The sequence below is a fragment of the Homo sapiens genome, chromosome 3 (assembly GCF_000001405.40).
Source record: "Homo sapiens chromosome 3, GRCh38.p14 Primary Assembly".
NCBI lineage: Eukaryota > Metazoa > Chordata > Mammalia > Primates > Hominidae > Homo > Homo sapiens.
Window position 1 is genome coordinate 40,840,095 of NC_000003.12, and position 27,646 is coordinate 40,867,740.

A 27,646-nucleotide genomic window follows, 5' to 3' on the forward strand; every position below is an offset into this window, starting at 1 on the left:
AACAGAAAGTAGAATGATGGTTGTCAGGGGCTGGAGGGGGAGGAAAAGGGGAGTTGTTGTTTAATAGGCACAGAGTTTCAGTTTTGCAAAATGAAAAAGTTCCAAATATTAGTTAAAACAATGTGAGTTACTTAACACTACTGAACTGTACACTTAGAAATGGTTTAAGATGGTACATTTTATATTAAGCACTTTTTGCCACAATTTAAAAATATTTGAAAAATAGAGAGTAGGACCGGGGTGCTGAGGGCAGGGGGCTCAGGGAGGTCTCAATTTTAATGGAGTGGTTAGGATAGGCCTCATTGTGAAAGTAACATTTCAGTGAAGATTTGAAGGAAGGAGGGGATGGCCACATGGCTCTCTGGAGGATACTTACATTCCAGGCATAGAGAACAGACAATGCAAAGGAGAGGCCTTGGCCTCATATGTGTGAAGAATGGCAAGGAAGCTGATTACGATTGGAGAGGAGTGAGAGGAGGGGAGAGGGAGATGAGGGTAGTCAGGTGATGGGAGCCAGGTCATGAAGGGCCCTGTACAACATTGTAAGGACTCTGGTTTTTTGTCTGAGATGGGAGCCATTGGAGAGTCCTTAGCTGAGGGGTGACAAAATCTAACTTAGGTTTACAGGGGATCGCTCTAAACAAGGGAAAGGGTGGAAGCTGGGAGACCATTTAGGAGACTGTTAGAATGGCAAAAATGTTGCTTTAATAAATAAATGAATGAAGAAACAGATAAATAAATGGAAACCATAAAATTAGGGAATTTTGAAGCTGTTATGTATTATTGTGTAGTGAAGAATTAACTTTACCCAAAGCAAGTTCTGTTCTTTGTCCTCAGCTGCTAGAAGCTGATCTCTAGGTCCCTTGAATGTCTTGTTTCATAGAAGTATTTTTGTTTGCCAGGGGTTTTTAGCCACTGGACAGCCTAATAATGCAATATGATGGGGACTTTGGCCCATGCCGTATCAGTTCTGATCTTTTCCCAGTTTCAGTTTAAGAACTGGAAACTAAAACTTTTAGCCCCAATCTCCAGGAGAGGCAGAGGGACTAAAGATCAGCTAACATAGGCAATATGTGATCAAACCCCAATAAGAACACTGGACAGTGGAACTCAGTTCAGCTTCCCCAGTTGGCAGTACTCTTGAGTATTATCACTAATTGTAGTTGGGAGGAGGTAACATTATCAAGGACTCCCCAGGAGATGACTGACAGTTTTCTGTTTGGGAAGCTCCCAGATCTTGGCCCTACGTATCTCTTTCTTTGGCTTGTTCTGACTTGTATCCTTTTGTTATAATAAAACCATAATTGGAAACATAGCTCTTTCCTAAGTTCTGTGAGTAGTTCTAGCAAATTGTCATGCCTGAGAAAGTCTGTGGGTAGGGACCCTTGAATTTGTAGCCAGTTGGTCAGAAGTGAGGGTGGCCCTGAAGCTCTCTAAACTTTCAGCTGGTATCTGAATTTTGAGCAGATGTGGTAGTTGTGTTGGAAGACTGTGCCCTTAACTGTGAGTTTGGCAAACTCATTGCAGCTATGTATTTTATTACAGTGGCTACTGAACTATATCATATGCATTCTATCACAAATTGTCACTTCCTGGATCAGAAGTTTGCTAATTACAGCCCATAGGCAAAATATGGCCCATTGTCTATTTTTACAAATAAAGTTTTATTAGAAAACAGCTATGCTCATTCCTTTATGTATTGTCTGTGGCTGCTTTCATGCTACAACAGCAGAGCTGAGCAATTGTGGCAGAGATGATACTGTCTGCAAAGCCTAAAATATTTACTGTCTGGCTCTTCATAAAAAAAAATTTGCCAGTTGCTGCTACTGACCTGGACCTGACCTTGACCTGGGAATTGGGAGTATGAACTCAGAGGGTCACTAAATATGGACATTGTCTTTCACAGGACAACATTTTCATGATGGTTCATACAGGACAAGGAAAGTGAGGCACAGTAATGGATTCAGCAAAAGAAGGGCAAATTGCTAGTTAAGTGTGGCACTATTGCTCTATTAATGTAAAATGACAGCTGTCAAAACTGGCTTCCGCCTTGACCTCTGTCATCAAAATATATTCTATAGGCCAGGTGCCGTGGCTCATACCTGTAATCCCAGCACTTTGGGAGGCCAAGGCAGGTGGATTACTTGAGGTCAAGGGTTCGAGACCAGCCTGGCCAACATGGTGAAACCTGGTTTCTACCAAAAATACAAAAACTAGCTGGGCATGATTGTGCATGGCTGTAACCCCAGCTACTCAGGAGGCAGAGTCAGGAGAACTGCTTGAATCCAGGAGGCGAAGGTTGCAGTGAGCTGAGATTATGCCACTGCACTCCAGCCTGGGCGACAAGAGCGAGACTCCATCTCAAAATACATACATACATACATATATATATCCTATAGAAGGATTCTTTTTTTGGTCCCCATGACTCACATCTCTAATTTTAGGCTTAGCAATGATGGTAATTTACATTAAATTTTCTACAAACCTTGCCAACAACTAACATAATAGGTGTTCACTTCTTTTAAACAATGCCAACTGGAGTCATTGAGTCTGAAGATTGGCTCAAATTCCATTCTGAATCCTGTAGAAAGTGAAATGCCACCTGATATTCTACCAGGACTCTGGAAGTTATGTCCAGAGGGTCACTCACACCGAGCACCTGTCTCTGCTGAACTAGTTATGTTCTGGGTTTCTCTTCCCCCCCATGTATGAGTTGTTCCCAGCCTGCCTCCTTGAGCCATCTCTGACACTCATCCACTTTTAGACTCACAGAAGATTGTTTCAGGTTTATAAGAACACGCTGAAAGTTAGGAAAGGCAGAAGAACTTGACGTGGCAGTCAACATCGGCAACTTACAAGTAAATACTACAGCACTACGTTTCCCAAACTGTGTGCGGAGACACCTTGAGATGCTGTAGCCAACTTACGGAAATGCTATGAGGGGGCCGGCCATGGTGGCTCACGCCTTTTTAAATCCCAGCACTTTGGGTTTTTCGCCATGTTGCCCAGGCTGGTCTCGAACTCCTGAGCTCAAGCAATCTGCCGAGGAGCTTGAGACGAGCCTGGGCAACATGGCGAAGCCCCGTCTCCAAAAGATACAAAAATTAGCCGGGTGTGGTAGCACACACCTGTAGCCCTAGCTACTAGGGAGCATGAGGTAGGAGGATGGCTTGAGCCCAGGAGGTGTAGGTTACAGTAAGCTGAGATAGCACCACTGCACTCTAGCCTGGGCAACAGAGCCAGACTTTGTCTCCAAAAAAAAAAAAAAAATACAAAGAAAAGAAATTCTATGAGGTATTTTACATTTTCAAGGTAAACAAAGCGATATTCAGTATCTCTTAGGTACTGGAGCAGAAGTTGTTAGCTCAAAGTAGTTCACTGTTTCAACAGTAGATTGCGGCACATCCTTTCAATGATATCTTTGTGAATCTGGATATTCAGGGTTACTGAGATAAAAAGCAAGCACTGAGTGAAAATCAACATGGAACAGGAAATGAGGGTGGGGGGTGTCCAATCTTAGTCCAAAGTTTGAGAGGTGTGCACATCCAGTGTACACATATGTGATTAATAAATCATTGTAGTTATTTAACAATAAAGTAACATTATTTTTATTTAAATTTACATTATTATTTCAAACCACAATTAAGTTGTTAGGACATATTAAGCTGGTTGGGTTTGCTACTTAATAAAGGAACTGTTCTTTCTTGTGGCCCAGGGGACACTATGAAAAAATGCCAGAGGCACCAAGGAAGCTGTGAACCAAGAAAGTTTGGGAACCCGCTGTTATAGTAATTAACACTGTTGAAAACAAGTCACTGGGTGATTTCTACCATCTTAGGTGTCAGCTCCTGGCTAAGGGGCTAGGCGTTTATTTTCTTTCTCTGCCGTGTTTCTGTTTCCCAGCTGCTATTTGCTTCCCATGCAGAACCCTTTAGTCATCTTGTCTGTTTCCCTACCTCCTTTCAGACCATGCCCTCAGGGCGCTGCTCCCTTCCACCCTCCAACAGCTTATCAAGGTATTTCCCTAAACAGAGACAATTTCCTCTCTAAAGAAATTCTTTTACCAGCATAAAAAAAAACAAACTTATTCTTCTAGTATAAATTGCTGTGCTATGGGCCTTGAATCACCAGAGCACTGGCACTCAAGGACAGGGTGAAAGGAAGGCCAAATCGAAGGTAAAATTGGTGAATAAAGGCAGAGAACGGGCCTAAGAAAAAGTTGATTGCTTCACAATTTTACTGTGACCACAAGCTGTGTGCCCAAAACACATTTAAATCTGTCCAGAGTCCAGATACAGAGCATGTAACAGATAAAATCTTTTTCCTTAACTCTGTAAACTGAATATTTTGTAACCTCAAAAGGCAGGATTTTACATCATTGCGATGCTTTATTTCTTCCTGTAATTAAATATACTGGTATAAGCTGTGAGAGCAAAAGCTGGAAATTTAGTCCAGCGGATATGTCTGTTTTCTCAAACATTTTAATGAAATTTTTCTTGATCATCATCTTTGGGCTCGGAGCATACACACCAACCACTCCTTGCCTTGCTTTATCCTTTATTCCATTCTTATTTCAGAAGAACATTATACAACTTTGCCGATCTGGGAGTGTGGGGGAAAAACGACTGATTCTTTTATGAGAGCAGATTGGTCCTGGCATTTATGAAGCCCTGACTGCACTGAGGTCCAATGAATGAAAATATCCGTGTTCTCTCCACCTCCGGCTAGCTGCAGCAATATCCTCTTCCACATCCATCACTGTCTCATGCCTGACAGAATGATAGACACACAAAATCATTCCTTATTGTAGTAGAGATCTCTCACCCAAATGGTTTTCTGGTAGTTACTCTGACTCAACTCTGGCCAACAGGCTCCTGTAAAATGGGTTCCATGTTCTGCTCCGCATTGCAAGAACCACCTGTTTGTAGGTTTCATCACATTTATTTGCATTAACCTCCACAGAAAGCAGGACCTCTGCACTGCTTACAACACTCCGAGAGGCCATTTGCATAAGCCTTTGCATTTACATAAGGCATAGATTTAATGGATGAGGATGAATGTGGCATTCTTGGTGCTTCTGTTGGGAATGCTTGCTAGGAATTATTTCTGATTCATCAGTCTGAAGGACCCAGGATCTCCTGAAATTTTGAATGGAAAGTCCATGTTTTATTTCCTATCCTAATGTGTCTAGAGATCTCAATCTGATCTCTACCAAACATTTTTTGTAAATGACTCCTACTTAGTCCTACTTAGTCCTTAGTTAGGCACCAGACTAAGTGCTTATGGTAACCCTTCTCCAAACATGGCCACCATCAATTCCTTCCCCTCCTGGATGCACATGGTTCCTCATTTGAAAAGATGAAGCTTATTTCTCCTTCCCTTGAATCTAGGCTGGCCCTTTGAGTTTCTTTGACCAATAAACATTGGTGGAAATGACACTGTGCTGGTTCTAGGTCTAACCTTTAGGAAAGCTGGCAGTTTCTGCTTCCTCTCTCTTGGGTGCCAGCTGCCAAGTAGGGTGACCAAATACTCTGATACTACCACATTGTATGAAAGCCCAGTTAAGGCTGGGTGCGGTGACTCATGCCTGTAATCCCAGCACTTTGGGAGGCCAAGACAGGAGGATTGCTTGAGCCAGGAATTCAAGACCAGTCCAGGCAACACAGTGAGACCCTATCTCCATAAAAAAAAAAAATTAAAAAATTAGCCAGATGTGGTGTGCACTTGTAGTTCCAGCTACATTTGGGGCTGAGGTGGGAGGATTACTTGAGCCCAGGAGGTGGAGGCTGCAGTGAGCCATGATCATACCACTGTACTCCAGCCTAGGTGACAGAGCAAAACTCTGTCTCAGTAAACATGAACAAGAAAAAAAAGAAAGCCCAATTACCAAATGGAGAAGTCACAGACACACACACACACACACACACACACACACGCACAGAGAGAGAGAGAGAGAGAGTGCACCATCTTAGATGTTTCAGCCTCAACAGCCACCACACAGAGGAGAGGAACCACCCAGCTGAGCCCAGCCTAGATGGCAGAATTGTGAGAAATCATAACTGTTGTTTTAAGTTACTAAGTTTCAGAATGATTTGTTGTATAGTAGCAGATAACTGAAACAGTGCTTAATAAGTATTATTTAAATTAATAAATATAACAATCAACCCTGTTAGGTATGAACTACTCCCCACATTTCACAAATGAAGAAACTGAGGTTTTACGAATTACATGACCTGCAGGATGTCACATTGCTAGTAAATGGCTGAGCTGACACATGATCCCAGGCTGCCTGATTTCAGTCTTCTCACTTAACCAAAATACGCTCATGCCTCTCTACAGAGAATCAGGACTCCCATGTACATGGTATATAATAGTGGTGCCCTTTGTTCAAAGGAAATATGTTAGAATTCTTGGATTAACAGATGCTAATGGCTCCTGACTACCCCTTTCCTTCATGGTTCCCTAAAGGAGCCCCTATGTCAGTCTTTTTACAAAGATAGATGGTGGCCGTGTGAACCATGTCTGGGAATGACAGCTGCTGACAGGAACAAGAGGACAAGAGGACAGCTGGGAAAGGAAGTGGCATTTGTTGAATAGCTGCCATGTGCTGCTATCTGTACATGACTGACTGATTAATCCTTAGGCAACCTAACAAGGGTGGCATAATGATCTCTGCTTAATAGATGAGAAAACTGAGACACAGAGAAGTTAAGGAACTTGCCCAAAGTAACCTAGAAGTAAATAGCAAAGATGGGATTTGACCTCAAGTCTATCCCTCTCCAAAGTCTGCAGTCTTTCTGAGTTAACCAAACCAAAGACCTGGGCTTATACTAGTTGTATAAGATTGAGACTTGAGATTTTTACTGTTGGAGGTAAGGAAGTTTTCAGGTTTTAAGCTTTATTTCTCAATGTACTAATTTTGCCATAACAAAAAGCCAACCTGGGGGTAAAAACAGAGGAAAAGCAACAACAGTGGGAACTAATTAAAATGCAAAACCTGTGTGGGAAAGCAAAGTCAAACAGAAAGAACTCTTGACTGCAGCCTTCTGAGATAACCAGGCATTGGGAGGGTTTCTGCTCTGTGGAAGGTCTTGACATCAGTTGATGGGGCTAATCCTCACAACAGGGTCCTCATGCTCACACAGAATGATACCCAGTTCATTCCTCTGCATCAAACACCTGTAGCAGACACTGCTACTTGCTATAGTGAGTCTCTAAGGAATTTTAAAATGTCTTGAGAAGTTAAATCAATTTCTAAAAATTGCCCTGCATGTTTTATGGCTCCAAGGTACATTAGCAAAGATTCTAGAGTCTACAAGAACTTCTGCAGCCTTGTAGTTTCTGTCCACTTAGAGGAACCCTAGCTCAGTAGCTGAATCCTGGGACAGTATGTCTTTGTGAAAACACACACACACACACATACACACACACAAATACAGCTGATAAGCCTCACGGTGTGGACTTTTATCGGCAAGCCACGCACTGTTCTAGCTTCCTTTGGATTTCCTAGTTACTTAGGAGTCAGTCTGGATAGCTCTCTCTCTCTTTAGCTCACTCGCTGGTTCTGTCTTCTCTATCAGAATAGAGGCTGCCAGACCAGCTGAGCATTGTCTGTGTTCCCTGTAGGCTGCACTAGAGACACGTGCAGTCTGCCCAGTCTGTTCCTGCATTCTGTTTCCTTCTGCCTTCATCCCTAGCACACAAGGGATGCAGGCATCTTTGGAATGCTCCCTCTTACCCAGGCCCACAGCAGGTGCTGAGGCTCTGGAAGTCTGTGGTTACTGACTATCATTGTTCCCTCTGGGATTGCCTTGGGAGAGGAAGCGTGACCAGCCACCCACAGGCTGCGGGGGTCCCCTACTCCTCCTTGTAGCTAGATCCAACTAGGAGGCTGCAGCAGGGAGTCTGGAGGGGCCTTCCCACCTCTAACATTGTAAGACCAGACAGTCTTTCCCCATTAGCAGACTGCCATGCTGGGAAGGGCAAGCCTTTCCTTCCCACTCTCAAAGTCTCAGCCCTGCCATGCCCATGTGGGGAGCCCTTCTAGGGTCATTCTTGGAGGGCAATGCATGGATGAATCTACGAGCTTGTGTGGGTTTTGCTCTCCACACATAGGACTACCTGCTATTTACATAATAAGAGGGAAGCAGACACATATGTGGGGTTGCCTTAGTAATTAGACACATGGCTGGTCCCTTCTTTTGTTGCCAAGTAATTGCAGCATCTGGTTTACCCCAAGAATGACTCTCCTATTAAAAAGCAGAGGGGAGGAAATAAAGACCTTATAAACCCACGCATATCTGCTGGTAGAGCTGCTGGAGAAACAGGCAAATTAAGAGCCTCATTTTGTAATTTTGTTTAAAGCAAAGCAGCAATAAGCACCACTCCTGCCACCCCTCTCCCCATCTCATAAATGCTTCCAAAAGCTTTAGACAACTGGAGCTTATGAGAAACTGACTAACAATATTTTTGGAGCTATGAAGTCATCTGTCACACCACCAGGAGGATTGGATCTGGGGCTCCGGGCTCCATGACCATATATAATATTAAATCTTGCTTGCTCCTCTGCGCACTGAGCTATGAGATCATGTTTATTGTCCTCTCCACAGCTGCATTAAAATGATCTGTGAATCTGTCTGAAAAGGTTCTTTGCTCATCACTGCAGAGCAAGGCTCAGGCTCATGGCTGAACAGGGAGGCACACACTCTCAGATAAAAAAGGTGAAGTATGGAAGAGAAAAGACTGAGATATGGGATTTCTGGGTTGGAAAATGACTTTGGCAAGTCATGCAATCTTCCTGAGACTCAGTTTTCTCATCTAAAAAATGGGAATAAGAATAGCTAGCTCACCAGGTAGACAGCTAGATATTTGCCTTGCCTGTCTCACAGGGTTATTTTGGGGCTCAAATAAGGTAGCAAAAATAATGTGGGTTTTTTAATCACTATAGAAACATGAGATGCTATTATTTGGTCCAGCCATACTGCAAGGAGAATTCTCAAGGCAAACGTGGAGAGGAGCCTGCCTTGATTGCGTCAGCTCGGAGTTACTCTTTTAAGGACCCTTGTCCTTATGATCCTTCCCAAGGTATAGGTTGATTTTGTTTTCTTTCTCTGTAAGAAGAGGAAATTCAGCCAGGTGTGGTGGCTCATGCCTGTAATCCCAGAACTTTGGGAGGACAAGGCAGGTGGATCACTTGAGATCAGGAGTATGAAACCAGCCTGGCCAACATGGTGAAACCTCAACTCTACTAAAAATCCCAAAACTTAGCCTGGCATGGTGGTGGACGCCTGTAATCCCAGCTACTCGGGAGGCTGAGGCAAGAGAATCGCTTGAACCTGAGAGGTGGAGGTTGCGGTGAACCAAGATCACACCACTGCACTCCAGCCTGGGCGACAGAGAGAGACTCCATGTCAAAAAAAAAAAAAAAGAGGAAGAAGAGGAAACGCACATCTAGGAAAGCTTATAGAATTCCCAGCCCCAGGTCTATGAAAGGCAGAATAGGGTAGGAGCATCTGGGAGCTCTAGCCACTTTAGGGTGGTTCCCAGATGACAGTTTTGGTGGTTTCATCTCCAGAAGGAGGGAGGCACTCGTGTTCCAGTTTCTCAACTCATTCTCAAAGTCATTCTACCTTGACATCAATACAAAATAGGTACATGCTGAATTAGTTTAATGAGATGCTAATTAAAGCAATATAAAGTAAAATGTCATTGGGGAAGGATTATCCTAGTTAAGTGACAAAGTTTATAGACAAAGACCAAGTAGAGAATGATCAGCTCTGTCCACATAAACTGAGGAGTTTCACAAGGTCTTCATGCATCTCTGAAAGCAGAACTGTCTCAGATCAAAGTGAATAGGAGTCAAAGCACTTTGAAGTTGGAATCATGTTTAAGGATTTTCTTCCTTCAAGGCTCATTTCACAGATAAGCAAAATGAGTCCCACCAAGGGAAAGGATTTGGCCAGAGTGACAAAGTAGATAAAAGGTAGGGCTACGACTAAAACCCAGGTCCTCTATAACCATTGTATTTCCAATAAATGCAGGACTATAACTTCAGTAAAAAGTAGCCAAAGTTCTAGGCCCATATTTTCAGTTCTCCATGCAGGGCACCAAGCTATGCACCAAGCTGTGGCTGATTCCTTGATGCTTAATCATAGCCTCTTATATAGCCAGATACCAGGGTCTGGCAGGGCAGACTAGTGAGGCCTCTCAGGCACTGAAAATATATCACAAGGCTGCAAGTGACCCAGAAAGGTCTGGAAGGATGTAACATGTCATCTGGACAGTAGGTAGAAGGACAGAGTATCCTGGTAGAGGTGAATTAACAGCAAGATGTCTTGGCAGGAGGCAGAATGGGAGAGAGAGGGAAAGACAGGGAGTGTCAGGGAGATGACACAGAATGGGTAAGCGCAAAAAAGTTCCTGTAGGAACTAAGGCAGGTGGAGAAAGAAAACCAAAACCAACCTGCTGGAAGTAGAGTGTGAAACAGCAGCTTGATTCCAAAAAACAAAAATAAATCAAGCAAAAAACTCCAACCGGATGATGCCCCTGGTACAAAGCATGCATTACAAGACCAACACAAGTCTTGTGTGGGTAGAACAGAATGCCTGGCCTAGAACACCATTAACTACCTTAGGATCCAGAAAGAGTTGGAGGGACTAGTGAGAGTGTCTCCAGTCATAGAGACTAGAGGACTACAGCAGATGAGAAAGCAGATGGATCCTGTTCTTCTATGCACTGCACCCAGAACCTATTTCATCTAGAGATAAAGCAAAGGAGACAAAAGGCAGCTGAGTTGATACATAAATATTTCTAAAACATTTGCTTCCATAACACAGTCTTTTTTTAAATTGAGAAATAGTGACAGAAAAATTTAAGGGGTGGAGCCCTTTTTTACTGAAGTGACATTGCTCAGATCGTCCTACAGTAGATAACCAGGATGGGAAAGCAGAGCTCTCTAGACGTGGCCCTGGATGGCATCTGGAGGAAAGCCAAAGCCACTGGGTCTCCTCCCACTTCCGGTCTTCAGTATATTTTTGGAAATATATGGTGTAGTTAAATGTCCCATTCTCATAAAGATTTTAGCCTTGAAATATTTGGCTTTATTCTCAGCTGGACCTAGGCCCGGGGTGACCATCACTTAAGTGATTCCATGCCTTGGGGAGCCTAAGTTAGGGCTTTCATGTTCAAAGGACATGGTCCATTGAAGACTTGGAATATGGACTTGCTCTGATCTTCATAGTCTTCAGTTCTCGGAGCCAAAGCAGGCTGACTTTAAAAAGGTGGCTTGTATTCTCTTCCTCTCTTCCCCATCCCCCATATTATCAACTGTTCAAGGGCAGAGGAAGATAATGGAATATAGGATTGGAGGAGCTGTGGCCACACCGGCAGAATTTAACTCTTGGGCTTTTCAGAGCTTTTCTCCCCAATAGGCAAACCTTTCCTAAGACACCCTTTTGTCATGAAAAGCAAACCATGTCAGCCAAACTTTTCAACCAGACTTTGAGGGCTGGATCTGAAATAAAAGGAAAATGGTTTTGAAATCTGTATTCAGCCAGCATAGTTTGATATTCCAAATTTGCACAAATTCAGAGGAGGGTGCAAATTCTTTCCTTTCCTTGGGAGAATAATGGGGCGGGGAGGGGTATGGTATTAATGATTGTTCCAGGTCAAGACATCAATTTGAGCTGGTTTAGTTCAGATCAAGAATAGGTTCTAACATTTGAGACAGTCACACCGGGCAAGGAGGGACCTGCACCATTGATGAATGGCATAACACTGCAGGGTGGGTAGAAGCCACACACGTAGCAACAGTTAGAACATACGTTAAAGCGGCATTTCTTGCTAGTTTGTTAGAGGCCTTGTGTGTCAGATGGGGGATAAGAAAATAGAATTGGTGCTGGGGCAGTTCAGGAAGTTCTGCAGAGGCATAACTAGCATAGACACTCAAAGTTCACTCCAAGGGGAGAGAGCAGTGCTTCCTGTGGGAGAAAATGTGATGAGAGATATGAGAAGACTAAAGACTAATTGAACATCCCATGTGAAAAATTCTGTGCTAGGCACAGAATTACATGACAAATACAGTTTTTCACTTAGATGTCCATCCACAAGCTAAATAATGTTCCTTATTTTACAGAAGTGGAAACTAGCTAAAAGATCTGTTAGAACTGTGCATCCAGGCCCCAAAGGCCTGGGCTACTGATGGTGCAAAGACACCAGTGGACCTGAGCAGGAACCGCTGTAGAGAACAGCAATGGAGGAGAGGATGGATGGGGTTGGAAGGTGGTAGGAAACAGTGATGAAGGCACAGTGGGCCAAACCATAGACAGTGTTAAGTGGCAGACAGATTTTCAGCTGGGGAATTTTAGAAGAGGTGTGATGACACTAGTGTTTTATGATCAGGCTAGGAGCTACAGAGGTTCTAGCCTCTTGAACAGAGGCTAGATGGAAGGAGGAGAGATTGGAAGTGGGAAATGATGAAGAAACTGACATGGCAATCCAAGAATGAGATCATGTAGATCCAGACTAAGGTTTCTTAACAGGAGTGGAGAGGAATAGATGCAAATAAAAATCCCAGGAATAACCCATGGAACTTGTTTTTTCACTGTGTAATAAGGAAAAAAGATTTCTTGTAGTAATAGATCATATTTAACTGTTTCAAATCTTCAAGGAGAAACCACGCAATGTAAGGCCACTTCCAACTTAGGCAAGGCTGCACACAAGTCATCCCAGCCAGATGTTTTATTCTGAATGTTTTCCCCATCTCTCTGGAGAGAGTTTCAATGTCTCACAGCCACTGATAGTAGATGTTCTGATGACCTTCCTGCACAATGGAAGCATTGTAACTTCCTGCTGGCTACAGTGCTAATGCATGATGATTGCATGTCACTTCTATAGGGTTCCTCTCTTTTGGGAAGTGGGCTATGGTTGAGGAAGGAATGGAGAATAACCTTAAAAGGAGTTCTTTTGACTTGGTGCAGTGGATACTATAGCGCCCTGCTTAGATCATCTTTACCAGACTAGCACATCCACCTGCCTAACTGCAACAAGTGTTGGCCCCTAAGAGCCCACAGCTGTCTTGTTCATTGGTCTTGAAGCCAGTGGAGATTATCAATTCTCCACCCACCCATCCTTGAGCAGCCATTGGCTGACTGACCTAGACTCACAAAAACCCAGTCCCCTTGCCTCCAGGTGGAATCAGCTCTGTGGTTCAATTCATGCTCCAGAGAGCCTAAATCAGACTCCAGCTGAGACCCACATCTTTGATTAGTTCCACCCCTTGCTCCATCCTACTTCCTCGAGAGCTCTGCCCCAATAAATCACTTACTCAAGAATCCATGTCTCAGACTCTGCTTCTAGGGAGCCTGCCTTTAAAACACTTGGGACTCAAAAAGATTTAATTCATAACAACTGAATCCACACTATAGATCGAAACGTGTACAGTGTTGGAAGAGCTTTAAATGAGACAGAGATACAAATTAAAGATTAGAAAGACATAACCACCCATAGAGCTGGACCGACGAAGGGCAGAGATGTTGCTTTCCCATTGGTTCTTCCCACTGGTTGAAACTAATAGAAATCCAGTGGACAAGGGAGCCTGGGAAATGTAGTTTTCAGGGAACTGATGTCACACAGAACAGAACAGGAGAAGGACAGGGAATGAATTCAAGGTGAACAGGTAAATGAACAGCATAAAACAGGGAGAAAATGAACAGCATAAAATAGGGGGAAAACCACAAGTAACACACATAATCAACTATGTTGAGAAACATATCAACTTCCCATACCCCTCTTCATGAAGCACCAGGGAATCCATCTGCAGGAAGAGTCCAGGAAAAGTCTCTGGACTATTTCTCTTCTCCTCCTTTCTTATACATGTCATCCTTGGATCATTTTCTGGGACCCATGCTGATCATTGGGCTGGTCACTTCCTGTAGCAGGCCTGATCAGTGATATACTAACTGCAAAGAATTCTGCAGTCTCCTTTTCCCAAACTTCTCACCCCAGGATTTGCATTAGAACATTTTTATCAACTCTGTCTACATTTCTTGCTGTCTTTGCTCCTATTTGGTACTACGCTATTTAATGCAAATGTTGGAATTGAGATTTACCTCTAATTTTGTAAATAAAATTGCAAAAAGCTCAGAAATGCCACCTGCCCTTTGTATTATCATGATCAAATGGGTTGATAGACCTCTCAGACTTTAGTGGGGATGGGACATCCTCTATTTAATCTTGATACTAGTGAAAAATTGTGCCCTTCCCCACTCATTGCTTTTATAAATACTATGTGTTTGCCTCCTTGTGTCACTGTCCACCCTCCCACCACCTCCATCAAGCTGTTACGTTTGCTATTTTTACCCTTTCATGTGTAAGGTAAAAATAATAGATTTTTATTAAATTAATGGACTAATCACCAAGTGTGAACCTCAAGTCCCTTTTATGCCAGTTGGCAAAGCAATTCATCCCTCACCTTTCAGCTGAGCTGTCTTCCAATTTATGGGTCAGATGGGCCCCCTTTTTCTGTGTCCTATCCACATAGCAGGGCCCAAGAGGCTCTTTCATTTCTTAGGCCCCAAGGATGGTTTTGCCGCCGAATCAGAGCTGCCTCATTGTCTGCTCACTGAGATGGTGCCTTGCATCCAGAGATGTGAATGTCTTTGAATTCAGTTCGCAAACAAAGGTCCTTTAGGGACATCACATGTTTTACATGTGCCTCATGGGTTTCTTGCTTGGTAGTCTTATTCATTCATTCAACACATATTTATTGAGCACCTACTATGGGTTTGGCTCTGGGCATGTGATGGCGACTGTAGGCAAATGAAGGGCAGAGAGTATGCTATAACTTGACTGATCTGCCCCCACAACACTAGCAAGACACCTCGATCAGAGCTTTGCTTAAATATTCTCATTCTGTCTTTCAAAAAATTCTAATTGAGAGAGGACTGCATGCTAGGCACTGTGCTAGGCACACATTTGATGATTAGCATGGTGAATAGTATTATTTGTCTATGATTCTTCTATGTTTCTGGTGGTTTTCTGTGGGTGAAGCTCACTTCTCCATCCGATTTACTCTGGACCTGGCTGTGATACTTGCCTTGGCCAATGGAATGTGAGCAGAGTGGACAGGGTATAAATGCGGGGCTGAAGCCTTAAGAATCATCACGTACTGTTTCTCCCTCATCTTGGAGCTTCTTACCTCCCCCATGGGAAGGGACTTCTTCAGGAAGTGGTTGGGCTTTCAGGTGGGATGCTGAGAAAACCAAATGGGCAACTAGAAACCTGGAGTCTGGAGATGCACCTGAGTTGCAGCTGACCCACAGACTTATGAGTGACAGATAAATGCTTGTTGTTGAAAGCCACTAGGATTTGGGGTTGTTATACAATAATATTGCAATTTTTAAAACCTGCCTAATAAGGTAACTGCTCCAAACTTTGGTTGTTTTCCATTCGCAGTACCCACTTCTTGCAGCTCCTTGTTCCATGAGTTTCAAAGGAAATACCATACGTATGATACTAAATATAGCACCTAGCATATATAATAAGTGCTTCAAAAATAGTGGCCTTGTCATCATCATTAATATTAATAGCACTACAAGATTCATGTATTGGGTCCTTTTCAATGACTGTGGTATACACACTTTGCAGTAGGTTCCAGATTAATCTATGGCCTGGTTTATAAAGCCAGATCTCCCATGACACCTAAATCAGCTGGGCTCAGATCATAATTGCTCTCTGAGCTGACAACATTTTAACTTGAATTTCCTTTAATATACCAAGTGAATACTGTATGAATTGCAGGTGCTAAAATTTATTACCAGATCACTTGATTTGAGATATGTGGGCCAAGGGAATACACCATCACAATCTCTGCACATCATTAAAGAGCTGGTTTTCTCAAGAACATCAGGTGAGGGGAGTAATTTAACGAGAGCAATAACAGACTTCCAAATAAAAATTCAGGCTCTGAGAATTAGGTCATCCTAAGTGGAACTCAGAAACCTGGGCCTAAAAATAGACTAATTCCATGCAGGGTAAGAGATGAAGCATTTGGACCTATATGAGACAGAAAGTTAGAACTGGAATCTTTGTATAAATCCAGAATTCTCAAATGTCCCACACTCACTGACATAATGTGATGATTAATCTTGTCCATCAACTTGACTGGGCTATGGTGTCCAGATATTTGGTCAAACATTATTCTGTATGTTTCTGTGAAGGGTTTTTAAATGAGATTAATATTTAAACCAGTGGACTTTGAGTGAAGCAGATTACCCTCCATACGGTGAATGGGCCTCATCCAATCAGTTCGTTAATTAGGAAAAGACTGACCTCCCTGGAAGAAGAGGAAATTTTACCAGCAGACCATCTATGGACTCCAGCTGCAACTCTTCCTTGAGTCTCCCGCCTCCTGCCTACGCTGCTGACTTTGGACTTGCCAATCCTCCACGATCATGTAAACCAATTCCTTAAAATAAATCTCTCTCTCTCTCTTTCTCCCTCCACACACACATAGACACATAAACACATACCCTATTGGTTGTGTTTCTCTGGAGGACGCTGACTAACATACACAGTGAACTAGAGAAAGTCTACCTGCCCTCAAAACAAAATGGCCAACAAGCTTGAATCTCTCTTAACCACCCTTTTTAATGAAAATGAGTCTACTTAGGAAATTTGCAAATGTATCACAGGAGACCCCAAACCTAGAAATTAATAAAAGGTTATTCTCAGTAGGCAACATCTCTGGGGCATCTGGAAGGAAGCAAAACTAAAACTGTTTAGGAAGAATGTAGGAAGCTTCCACCCTAAGATACACAGGACATTCACAAATAAAGCCCATGAAATATGAACTCACAATTTCAAATTATGAAACATATCCTGGAATAAAATGCCATGAGCCATAGTCAGGAGAATCAATTAACAGCAAATTTAGAGTTTGAAGAACTTTAGACAATAAGAGTATCAAATTCAGAATATAAAAATAAATCATTTATAATATAGAATTTACTTCACTGTAAAATTTTGGGCAAGTTACTTAATCTCTACGCCTCAGTTTCCATATCTGTCAGTGGATCTCTGAAATCTGCATTTTCACAGGATCGCTAAGGGCGTCTGATGCACACTCTGTCTTGGAATCTACTGCCCTGGTCATACTATGTCAGGAGCATTGTAGGACATTACATGTTCGCCTGCCTTCTGGATGGAGGTCATTCTTTCCATTGCCTGCTCACTTTCCTCTCACCCCACACACAGGTAGGATCACTTCCTCCTGAGTGAAAGGGACATGGAGACTCTGTGTGGTGCATTTACTATTTAATACATGCCTATTACTACCAAGAAAAATGCCATTAGGTTTGGCTGGGAATCTTGGTTGCCAACCATCTCTGCTGAAGATAAGCAAAGAAATTTAGCCACAGGATCAAGAGCACAGGTGGCCTCAGAACCAAAATATGGTAAGAGTACCAGTTAGCCACCGCTATTGTTCACCACAGCAAGGAACTGATTAAATTATATTGCTACCCTAAGCTATCAGGGGCTGCAAGAAGGGGACCAACTGAGGAACAAAACTAAGGATATCACGGTAGGAAAAAAATGATCAATACTAAAGCTTCCCAGTGTAAGATTTGATTCTTCAACAAAATATGTAGGGGAGTGGAGGAGAGCACACTAAGGTTGTTCAGGTTAGAAACAACTGGCTATTTCTCCGAAGGAGAATAATAAGAAAATTGCCCTCATGTGTGCAAATTTCAAGTGTAGGTGGGGTCACTTGACAAGGGACAGGAAAGGGGGCTTTCTGGAAAGGTGAGTCTGATGGTGGATGCCCTTGGGTTGTGGCAAGAAAGTAGAGCCTTAATTGAGGAAAACAGAGGCAACCACAAGAGAGGGTGGGCCCGGGGGGCCAGGGAGGTAAACACATTCCCATAGCTTCAGTGAACACCTGCATGATGATGTTGGAACCTAACTACACACACAGGGATGGTCCAGAGGTGGACAAGAGACAGAATCATTAGGAAATGACACCCTGGGAGAAAAAGCACAAAGGAGGTGAGCAATTCACCCAGGGGCCCTGCTAACACACATACTCAAGGAAGCCAGGAGAGAGAGTCACTCCCTTAGTGGTGGGTGGTATGTCCACCCAATGAAAAGAAGTTGCTCCCCTGAGGACACAGGGATGCACAAAGGATCACTGGCAGGAGAAAATGCAGCAGGAATGGACTATTCAACCTGGTTGTACATGCTGACAGCTGTTTTTCTTCCTTTTTTTTTTTTTTTTTCTCTCATTAGCCGGACGCTATCCACTTTGGGAGTGGAGGGCACTTCCCACCCACCAGGGTAGTATGTACCTATGTCTCACCACTTGCTGGCAGAGTTTAAAGAGTAAGCTCATCTTGCCCTCAAGGAAAGGGGAGCCAGTTTTTATGATTGCTAAATATCGGAGCTCTGGGTTTTAATGAGCCAAAGTTAATTGTGAAAGAATAAAATAGAGCTTTTGTGTGTCAGAACCGGAAGGAAGACTGTGGGAATAGGAGCAAGCAAATAGGATCTGGGGTAGAGCCTGGAAGCTCGAGACGTGCCATCTGAACACCTAGAGGGGAGGTTGGTGGGGGGTCCAAGACCCCTAGTATGTGATAGGGTTAGTGATGCCTTCTTTACTTTGGCGACATTACAGAATTAGGGTGGAAATCCCCAGATACTAGCTTTTACACCAGAAGACAACTTATTAGCCCTTCTGGGGATGTGAGTGGCATAACCAGGACACCAGGGGAGACAATCTGTTATTTCATAGCAAGTTGCTGACAACATCTGCTACTGACCTATCATGCACAGGCTTGTCTGGAGGGCATATCCAGGCAAACAAAAGGCACTAAACCCACTTGTGGCTTTACCTCTTTAAAGGAGATAGCACAGCAAAAAACATTCCATCCTGTAAAACAACAATAACCCAAGTAGAGCCCAGGGATACACAGGCCTACCTCAGGCCTCTTGCACTTGCTGTTCCCTCTGCTGAGGACTTTCTATAGATATTTGTGTGATCCCCTCCCTCACTTCACTCCATTGTCTTCTGAAATACCAGTCCCTCAGAGAGGCCTTCTATGGCCATCCCAACTGAAATAGCACCACCCTCAACCCTAACTCTGCCTGAATTTTCTTCAGAACACATGTTACTCTTTGTATCATTCCGCATATTTATTTATTTATTTTCTGTATCTCTCTAAGATATATGCTTCAAGAGGGCAGATAATTTGTTTATTTTGTTCACTGCTATATCCCGATTATCTAGAGCAATGCCTGGTACATGATAGGCATTCAGTTAATATTAGTGAGTAAATGGACCATCAAAATAGAAAAATTAGCCCCTGCGTAAATACTTTAGTTAAAACATAGGTATATTCATAGGGGTTTTATTTCAAGTCAGTGGGGTATCATCCTAGCCTAATGTTTAGCTGTTACAAGCTAAAGAAAACCAGATTGTCTTACTAAACCACTCTGCTATTAAAAAAGAAAAAGTTGTCTAGAGCCTGACTCTAGACCTGTTGGGCTGCTCCATCGATTGATTTCTCAGCCATTGATTAATCTTTGTGTAGTTGTCAGAGCTTGAGAACATCAATCAGCTAATAGCTGTCACTAATCCACAAGCAAGGAAACAGGGTCTGTCCAGTCACTTCTGTCCTTGGCTTCATTGTTTTCCTTCTTTAATGTAAATGTAATTCAATTTCCTTCTTTAAATGTAAAGCAATACAAGGATGATGTAAAATAAATTCAATGCAAAACAGTATACGATAAAAAGTAAATTTCCTCTTAACATCAGTGACCCTTGGCCTCCCTCATCAGGAACATCTATTGGTATCTCATTGTGGTTACAATTTATACTGCCCTCATTACAAAGAAATTAATCAGCTTTTCATGCTTTGTTTTGTGTTTTTTTGGCCATTTGTATATCCTCTTCTCTAAGTGATTTGTTCTGAGCCCCTTGCCTATTTTTTCATTGGGTTTTATGCCTTTTTCTTTTGAATTTGTTGAACTTTACATTCCAGATACAGGTCCTCTGTCAATTTTGTGTTTCAGATATTTTCTCCTACTCTTTGGCTTGCATTTTCATGTTATTTTTGTGAACAGAAGTTACTGATTTTGAGCCTGATTTTGATAACCATTTCCTTACGATAGTCAGTGTTTTTGTTTCTTATTTAATCCAAGATAATGAAGATATTTTCCTACATTGTCTTCTAGAGAATTTATTGTTTTGCCTTTCACATTTATGTTTAAAATTCACCTGGAATTTAGTTTTGTGTAATGTGAAGTAGGGATTCAGTTAAATGTTTTCATGTTGATACCCCATTGATATCCCATTGTTTCAGCACCATTTATGGGAAAGTCTTTTTTCTAATCTTCTGTAGTAGTGCCTTGATTTAAATTAAGTTTCTACACCTGTATAGGTTTGTTTCTTGGCTCTGTATTCTCTATCATTGGTGTATTTGTCTAGATTTTCACCTTAGTCATCTATACTGTTTTTGTGTGTGTATGAGACAGAGTCTCACTCTATTGCCCAGGCTGGAGTGGAGTGGCACAATCTTGGCTCACTGCAACTTCCACCTCCTGGGTTCAAGTGATTCTTGTGCCTCAGCCTCCCAAGCAGCTGGGACTACAGGCATGTGCCACCACAGTCTGCTAATTTTTGTGTTTTTAGTAGAGATGGGGGTCTCATCATATTAGCCAGGCTGGTCTTTAACTCCTGGCCTCAAGCGATCCACCCACCTTGACCTCCCAAAATGCTGGGAGCATGAGCCACTATCCCAGCCTAGACCTTAATTATTAGACCTTTATAATAGTCCTTGTTTGCTAGAGCAAATCATCCTGCTTTATGTTTCTTCTTCAACAATGTCTTGGTTATTCTTGGCCCTTTGCACTTCCATATAAATTCTAGAAAGAACTTATTAATTTTCAGAAAACAAAAACCTATTCATATTTCATTTGAGACATCAATTTAATAAGAATCTTTTATGATATTGAGTTTTCTAATCTCTGAACATGGTGTGCCTTTCACATACACATACACAGATATGTAATTTTGGGGGGAGAGGCTTTCTAGTTTACAAAGTATTTTATACTATTATACAGACAATTTATTTTATTTATAATTTGTTTATCGCTAATACATGTAGAAATGAAATGGATACAAATGTAGATTGATTTTGCATTCTACAATATTGCTATTAAGTCTGATTTATTTGTAATACTCTTGAATGTTCTGTGTATATGATCATAGCATATCTCAATAATGGCAATTTTGTTTCTTCCATTCTAATCACTATGTATTTTATTTATTATTCTTACCTTACTGAACTGTTCAGGACCTCCAGGAAAATGTCGACTAGAAGACGTGATAACTGTACCAGTTATTTCTTGTTGCTGATCCCAAAGAAAAAGGCTTTAGTATTTCATCATTAAATATAATGTTTCTGCAGTTTTTTTAAATTAGATACTCTTTAATTGAATAAGGAATTCTCCTTCTCCTCCTAGCTCATTGTTATTTTTAAGATTATGAATGAATATTGAATTTTGCCAAATACGTCTGCATTTTTTGAAAAACATGATTTTTCCATTCTTATTTCTTAATTTGGCAGAACACATTAATGGGTTTGCTAATGTTCTACTAACCTTGCATTTGCATTTCTGGACTAAATCTAAGTTGGTTATGATGTATTTTCTATATACATATATATGGATTGTGTGTGTGTGTGTGTGTGTGTGTGTGTGTGTATGATAGGATTGTGTTTGCTAACTTTTTAAAGGAATTTTTAATGTATGATCATGAGTAAAATTAACTTACTTTTGTCTCTTATTCTGGTCTTATCAGGCTTGGTATGAAGTTATACCGGCATCATAAAATGAATTGAGGCATTTTTTTTTATAATTTTCTGTTCTCCAAAAGAGTTTGTTAAAGATTGGCATTATTTCTTCCTTAAATTTTTATGGAATTTAACAATGATAGCTTTGGGGCCTATAGTTTTATATAGGGGAAGTATTTTTTTAATTATGGATTTAATTTATTCAATAATAATAGGATTATTCAGGTGTTTAAAATTCTCGCTTCCTGTCTTTTTTGTAAATCGTATTTTTCTAGGATTTTTTCCATGCATTTTAATTTTCAAGCTATTTGGCATAATGTTTAAAACATTCTTTCATTGTCATTTTAATGTCTGTATAATATTATTACACTGATCATTTGTGTGACTTTTTCTCCTTTTTTGGATCAATCTTACCAAAATTTTATCAATTTCTTTCTTTTCTTTTTTAGACGGAGTCTTGCTCTGTCGCCCAGGCTGGAGTACAGAAGTACAGTGGCGCGATCTGCAACCTCCGTTTCCTGGGTTCAAGCAATTCCCCTGTCTCAGCCTCCCGAGTAGCTGGGACTACAGACCCATGCCATCATACCCAGATAATTTTTGTATTTTTAGTAGAGACAAGGTTTCACCATATCAGTCAGGCTGGTCTCGAACTCCTGACCTCAGGTGATCCCCCTGCCTTGGCCTCCCAAAGTGCTGGGATGACAGGCGTAAGCCACCTCGCCTGGCCAGTTTATCAATTTCGTTAAGCTTTCCAAATAATCAAATGTGTTGGTCCTGTTGATTTTTCTCTTTCATATGTTCGCTTTCTATTTTATTAATATCTATGTTTTTCTGTATTCTTTCCATTTATTTACCTTCTTTTTGTAATTATCTGAGATGAATAAATCTTGGCTTGGTAATTATATATAGAATTACTAAGCTGAGATTCAGAGAAGAGGGATGAACCTGGAACTTGGAGCCACTTTTGCCCAGGAGATAATTTATATATACATGTATATATATTCAGTGTATGTACACATAAATGAGGGCGGTTGGCTCTAAGCAACAAACACTCACCTCTGCATAACTTAAGCACAAAATAGCCACTCACAGAATGGAAGGAAGGGCTGAAGAACCAGGTTTCAAAGAGAATAGGTGCGAGGGCAGGCCAGGGATCTGGGAAGCAGAAACTACTATTTTTTTATTGCTCTGTTCAAAAGTCAAATTCCAAGAAGTGAGCATCTGATCTGTGTCAAGTGCCCACCTCTTGGCTAGGAGCAGGTAGGGCAGACTGCATGCAGTGAGAAAGACTGGTTCCTCTGAAGCAAATTCAGAGGCTATTTATCAGAAGATTTGGGAATGAATAATGGGCAGACAAAAATAACAAATGTTCACTGTAGAGAGAGAAAAAGAAATACAGCAGGAGAGACACAGGAGCAAGGAAGCAGAAGAGAAAGAAAGAAAAGTGGAGAGAAATTGGTAAAATGAGGTGGGGTGGTTTGGATGTGTGAGCCATCCGAAATGAGAGAATGTGCCAACCATCAAGAAAAATCATTGAAGCTCTTCCCCTATCCAGGGACACATATGACTTTTGTCAGTCTTCATGGGCCCCTTCCTCCATTAAAAATACTAAAAATTGGCTGGGCGCAGTGGCTCATGCCTGTAATCCCTGCACTTTGGGAGGCCGAGGCGGGTGGATCACGAGGTCAGGAGGTTGAGACCATCCTGGCTAACATGGTGAAGCCCCGTCTCTACTAAAAATACAAAAAATTAGCCGGATGTGGTGGCAGGCGCCTGTAGCCCCAGCTACCTGGGAGGCTGAGGCAGGAGAATGGCATGAACCCGGGAGGCGGAGCTGCAGTGAGCCGAGATCGCACCACTGCACTCCAGCCTGGGCGACGGAGCAAGACTCCGTCTCAAAAAAAAGAAAAATTAAAAATCATATTTTATGACGGTATTGGTATAAAGACAAATGTAATTCAGACTGGATTTATTGTTATGTATCATGATTATTATATTCATGTTTTTCTTCTGATCTTAAAAGGAATCAAAATTAAGACATTTTTATGAACCCCTAAAAGTATCGTGGGCCCTAGATGCTCTGCCTACTCCTTCTTCTCTTCTGTAAGATGCAGCTTGCATTGGCATTTGCTGCCGTCTCCATGCACGTCAGTCCATCTTCCAGCTGCCAGCACCCAAAGCACTTTGCCCGAGAGCTCTCTCTGGCTGCTGGAGGCAGCTATTTGACATCCTTATCCCACAGCTCTTAAACAATAGGTAATGGGAGATGGTATTTAAATACCCCAAATCCTTACCCCTCAGAGGCACATGTTCTTCATCAACTCCCAGAGGACCTAAGCAAGATTAACCTCTAGTCCCCCAGTGTGGTAACTTGGTTAGTATGAACTTCTGTTGGCTACTTTCCCTTTCCTGTTTCACTCCTCCACTGCCCTGCCAGTGGTTTCCGGGATCTCCTCCCCTCAAAAAAACATTCACACTCAAATCCTTGTCTCAGTCTGCTGCTGGGAGAACTCAAACTGAGACACCACAGAGACAGTTCAGATATGAGTCCCTGTCCAAATCTCATGTTGAATTGTAATCCCCAGTATTGGAGGTAGGGCCTGGTGCAGGTGATTCAGTCAAAGGGGTGGATGCAGGTGATTAAGTCAAAGGGGTGGATGCAGGTGATTAAGTCAAAGGGGTGGATGCAGGTGATTAAGTCAAAGGGGTGGATGCAGGTGATTCAGTCAAAGGGGTGAATTTCTCATGAGTGGTTTAGCGCCATCCCCTTGGTGCCATCACTACTCGTGATAGTGAGTGACTTCTTGCAAGATCTGGCTATTTAAAAGTGTGTGGCACCTCGCTCTCTCACTCTTGCTCCTGCTTTCACCATGTGGCATGCCTGCTCTGCCTTAGCCTTCTACCATGAAGCTTCCTGAAACTTCTCTAGAAACCTAGCAGACATTAGCACCATGCTTCCTATGAAGCCCGCAGAAGCAATTAAACCTCTTTGTAAATTACCCAGTCTCAGGTATTTCTATATAGCAATGCAAGAACAGCCTAACACAACTCCACTTCAGGTTAGCTTGCACTGGGGCATGAGGAAACAAAGCTCTCTAAAATATCAGCCTTACAACCAAATACAAAGGGCTAGTGACTTCACTCTGCAGAGAGGGGAAGGACAAAGAGTCTTCTACTAATTATTTTCTTACAGAGCTGTGACCTTGTTGGGAGGGGTAATCTGGCCTTGAATATTTCCTTGGTTCACTGTTGTGAAAATATTATTCCAGAAGTTTTTCTGGTCATCGGACTTTCTTAGCCTGGCATTTATTCTTGTTTCAATTTCATATGAAAACTTTAGTGTTGGCCAAAGAATGCTGGACTATTTAATTCTATCAAAGCCTGGTGAAATCTTTCTTCCTGGTGTTTTGGCTGGCGGAGTTACTTAATTTGTACAAACCAACAGCAACAGGGCAAAGCACTTTGACAATATAAAGGGTTATGGAAGGAATAATTCACATTAATCATCTGAGTTATGCTTTCATTTGCTTTAATGTGGTGGATTTGGCCATGGGGGCAGTAGGTCTTATGACTGCCCCTCAGAATAAAAGTTTAAAGGAATGTGTATTTCTGGAAAATCACTTTTCTGTAACACACCCAGAGTTCTTTTAAAGATACTTTAGTTTGCAAAACTTCAAATGAAGAGCCATTATTTACTTTATAATCCAAGGCAGAGCCAATGGGAAACCCTGGGAGAGAAGAAGCTGGAGGAATCATACATGTTTTCATGGTGGAACTTTGCAACAAATGTAATTTATTTTTTCTTTAAAATAGTTCTTATGGTTTTTCCCACATTGTTACATGGGCAATTTTCATCTCTGGTGTTCCTAAGGAGTCAGATCACAAAACAGCATAATGCTTAACAACATGAGCTTCAAACTCAGAAAGATCTGGGTTTGAATCCTACCACTTGTGTGTGACTTTGGACTGGTTACCTAACCTCTCTATACCCCTGTAGACTGAAGATAATTATTTTACCCTCCTCATATACACATGAGGTTAGTGAGGGTATAAAAAATAATGCACAACAGTACTTAGCATGCACTGAATGTATTATGTACTAACTATTACTATTTTTTGTTTCTTGATCTTAGCCAATGTTCCCTTAACCTGAATCCCTCTAATAACTTTTCTAGACACTCATAACATCCTCAGCAACTACCAAGCAGTTTCCACTCAAGGCCAGCGTGTCCTCTGCATGGCTGATCATCTGGTGTAAGATCTAGAGCTACAAAATCCTGCCCACACCTTCGAGTCTCCTGGGAGCCTGATCCCAAGCTTCTGTCCCCTTGTCCACCATGTCAGACACTCTTTAGGATTAGGTGACTAGGGTGGGACTTGGTCAAGTCTGGTGTTATGATCTCTAAAGGCCACTAAAAAGCTAACTGGCCACCTACAAGGGATTTGAGGGCTTGCCTCAACCTTTTCGCCTTAGTGAAGGCAAGGTAATTAGGTGACACAATGAGCAGAGGCCTGGAGCACGGAGAGGCAAGAAAAGTAAACTTCAGTAGGGGATACTGAGGGTACATCAGAACCCCAAGACGTCCAAGGCAACCAGGGCACACAGGGAAAAGACGAGGGTAGGCCGTGGTCAGAGCTGTCCAGATGAAGTCCAGAAGTGAGATGGCCACCAGAGATGAGTATGAACTTTGACATCCTCAACAGTCAACCCAGATGACCCAGGAGCTCAAAGTAACAACCACAAAAATAGTAACACATTCTACTGGTCTTTTGCTTTATCTCTGATACGGTTTGGCTGTGTCCCCACCCAAATCTTATCTTGAACTGTAGCTCCCATAATTCCCATGTGTCATAGGAGGGACCTGGTGGGAGGTAATTGAGTCATGGAGCAGGTCTTTTCTGTGCTGTTCTCATGATAATAAATAAGTCTCACGAGATCTGATGGTTTTAAAAGGGCAGTTCCCCTGCACATGCTCTTGCCTGCCACCATGTAAGACATTGGCTTTGCTCCTCATTTGCCTTCCACCATGACTGTGAGGCCTCCCCAGCCATGTGGAACTGTGAGTCAATCAAACTTCCTTTTTTTTTTTGAGATGGAGTTTCGCTCCTGTTGCCCAGGCTGGAGTGCAATGGCAAGATCGCGGCTCACTGCAACCTCCGCCTCCCAGGTTCAAGCGATTCTTCTGTCTCAGTCTCCCGAGTAGCTGGGATTACAGGCATGCACCACCATGCCCAGCTAATTTTGTATTTTTAGTAGAGACAGAGTTTCTCCATGTTGGTCAGGCTGGTCTCGAACTCCCGACCTCAGGTGATCCGCCTGCCTCGGCCTCCCAAAGTGCTAGGATTACAGGCGTGAGCCACCGCACCTGGCCAAACTTCTTTCCTTTGTAAGTTACCCAGTCTCAGGCATGTCTTTATTGACAGAGTGAGAACAAACTAATATAATCTCCATATCTGGTAGAGTGCTAAGCAGTGGCTGCTTCATGTAATAGTCACCAACATCCATGTGTGTTTCTGGGGCAGAAGTGCCAAGGCAGAGCCCGCAGTCAGCAGTGGGAGATCTGGGAAGAAGTCTCCACCTCAGCCCTTCCATTCACAAGCTGAGCGACAAGGGCAAACCACACAGCCTCCTGAATCTCAATAGATTCACTCTGCTGGGCAGTGGGGAGAGCCAAATGAGGCAGGGCACATGAGCTGCTCTGTAAACTTTACAGGGTCGTGCGAATAATATGTGACTCAACTTACTGTGCTTAACCCAGGGTCTGGCACCTGTAGTAAGGTGTTAATATTGAAGTTTC

General features: G+C 42.3%; 1 long non-coding RNA gene across 2 annotated transcripts in view, besides 1 other annotated feature; it reads left to right on the forward strand.

Moving 5' to 3' along the window:
- Window positions 1-27,646, forward strand: part of LOC105377043 (uncharacterized) — a 191,504-nt gene that overhangs the window by 120,236 nt on the left and 43,622 nt on the right. The window lies entirely within an intron of this gene.
- Window positions 3,576-4,444: an enhancer, noted in NCBI's record as "NANOG hESC enhancer chr3:40885161-40886029 (GRCh37/hg19 assembly coordinates)". NCBI's record gives its function as "activates a minimal SCP1, AML or CMV promoter by ChIP-STARR-seq in naive H9 embryonic stem cells {active_cell/tissue: H9 hESC(naive)}" and the evidence as "EXISTENCE:reporter gene assay evidence [ECO:0000049][PMID:30033119]".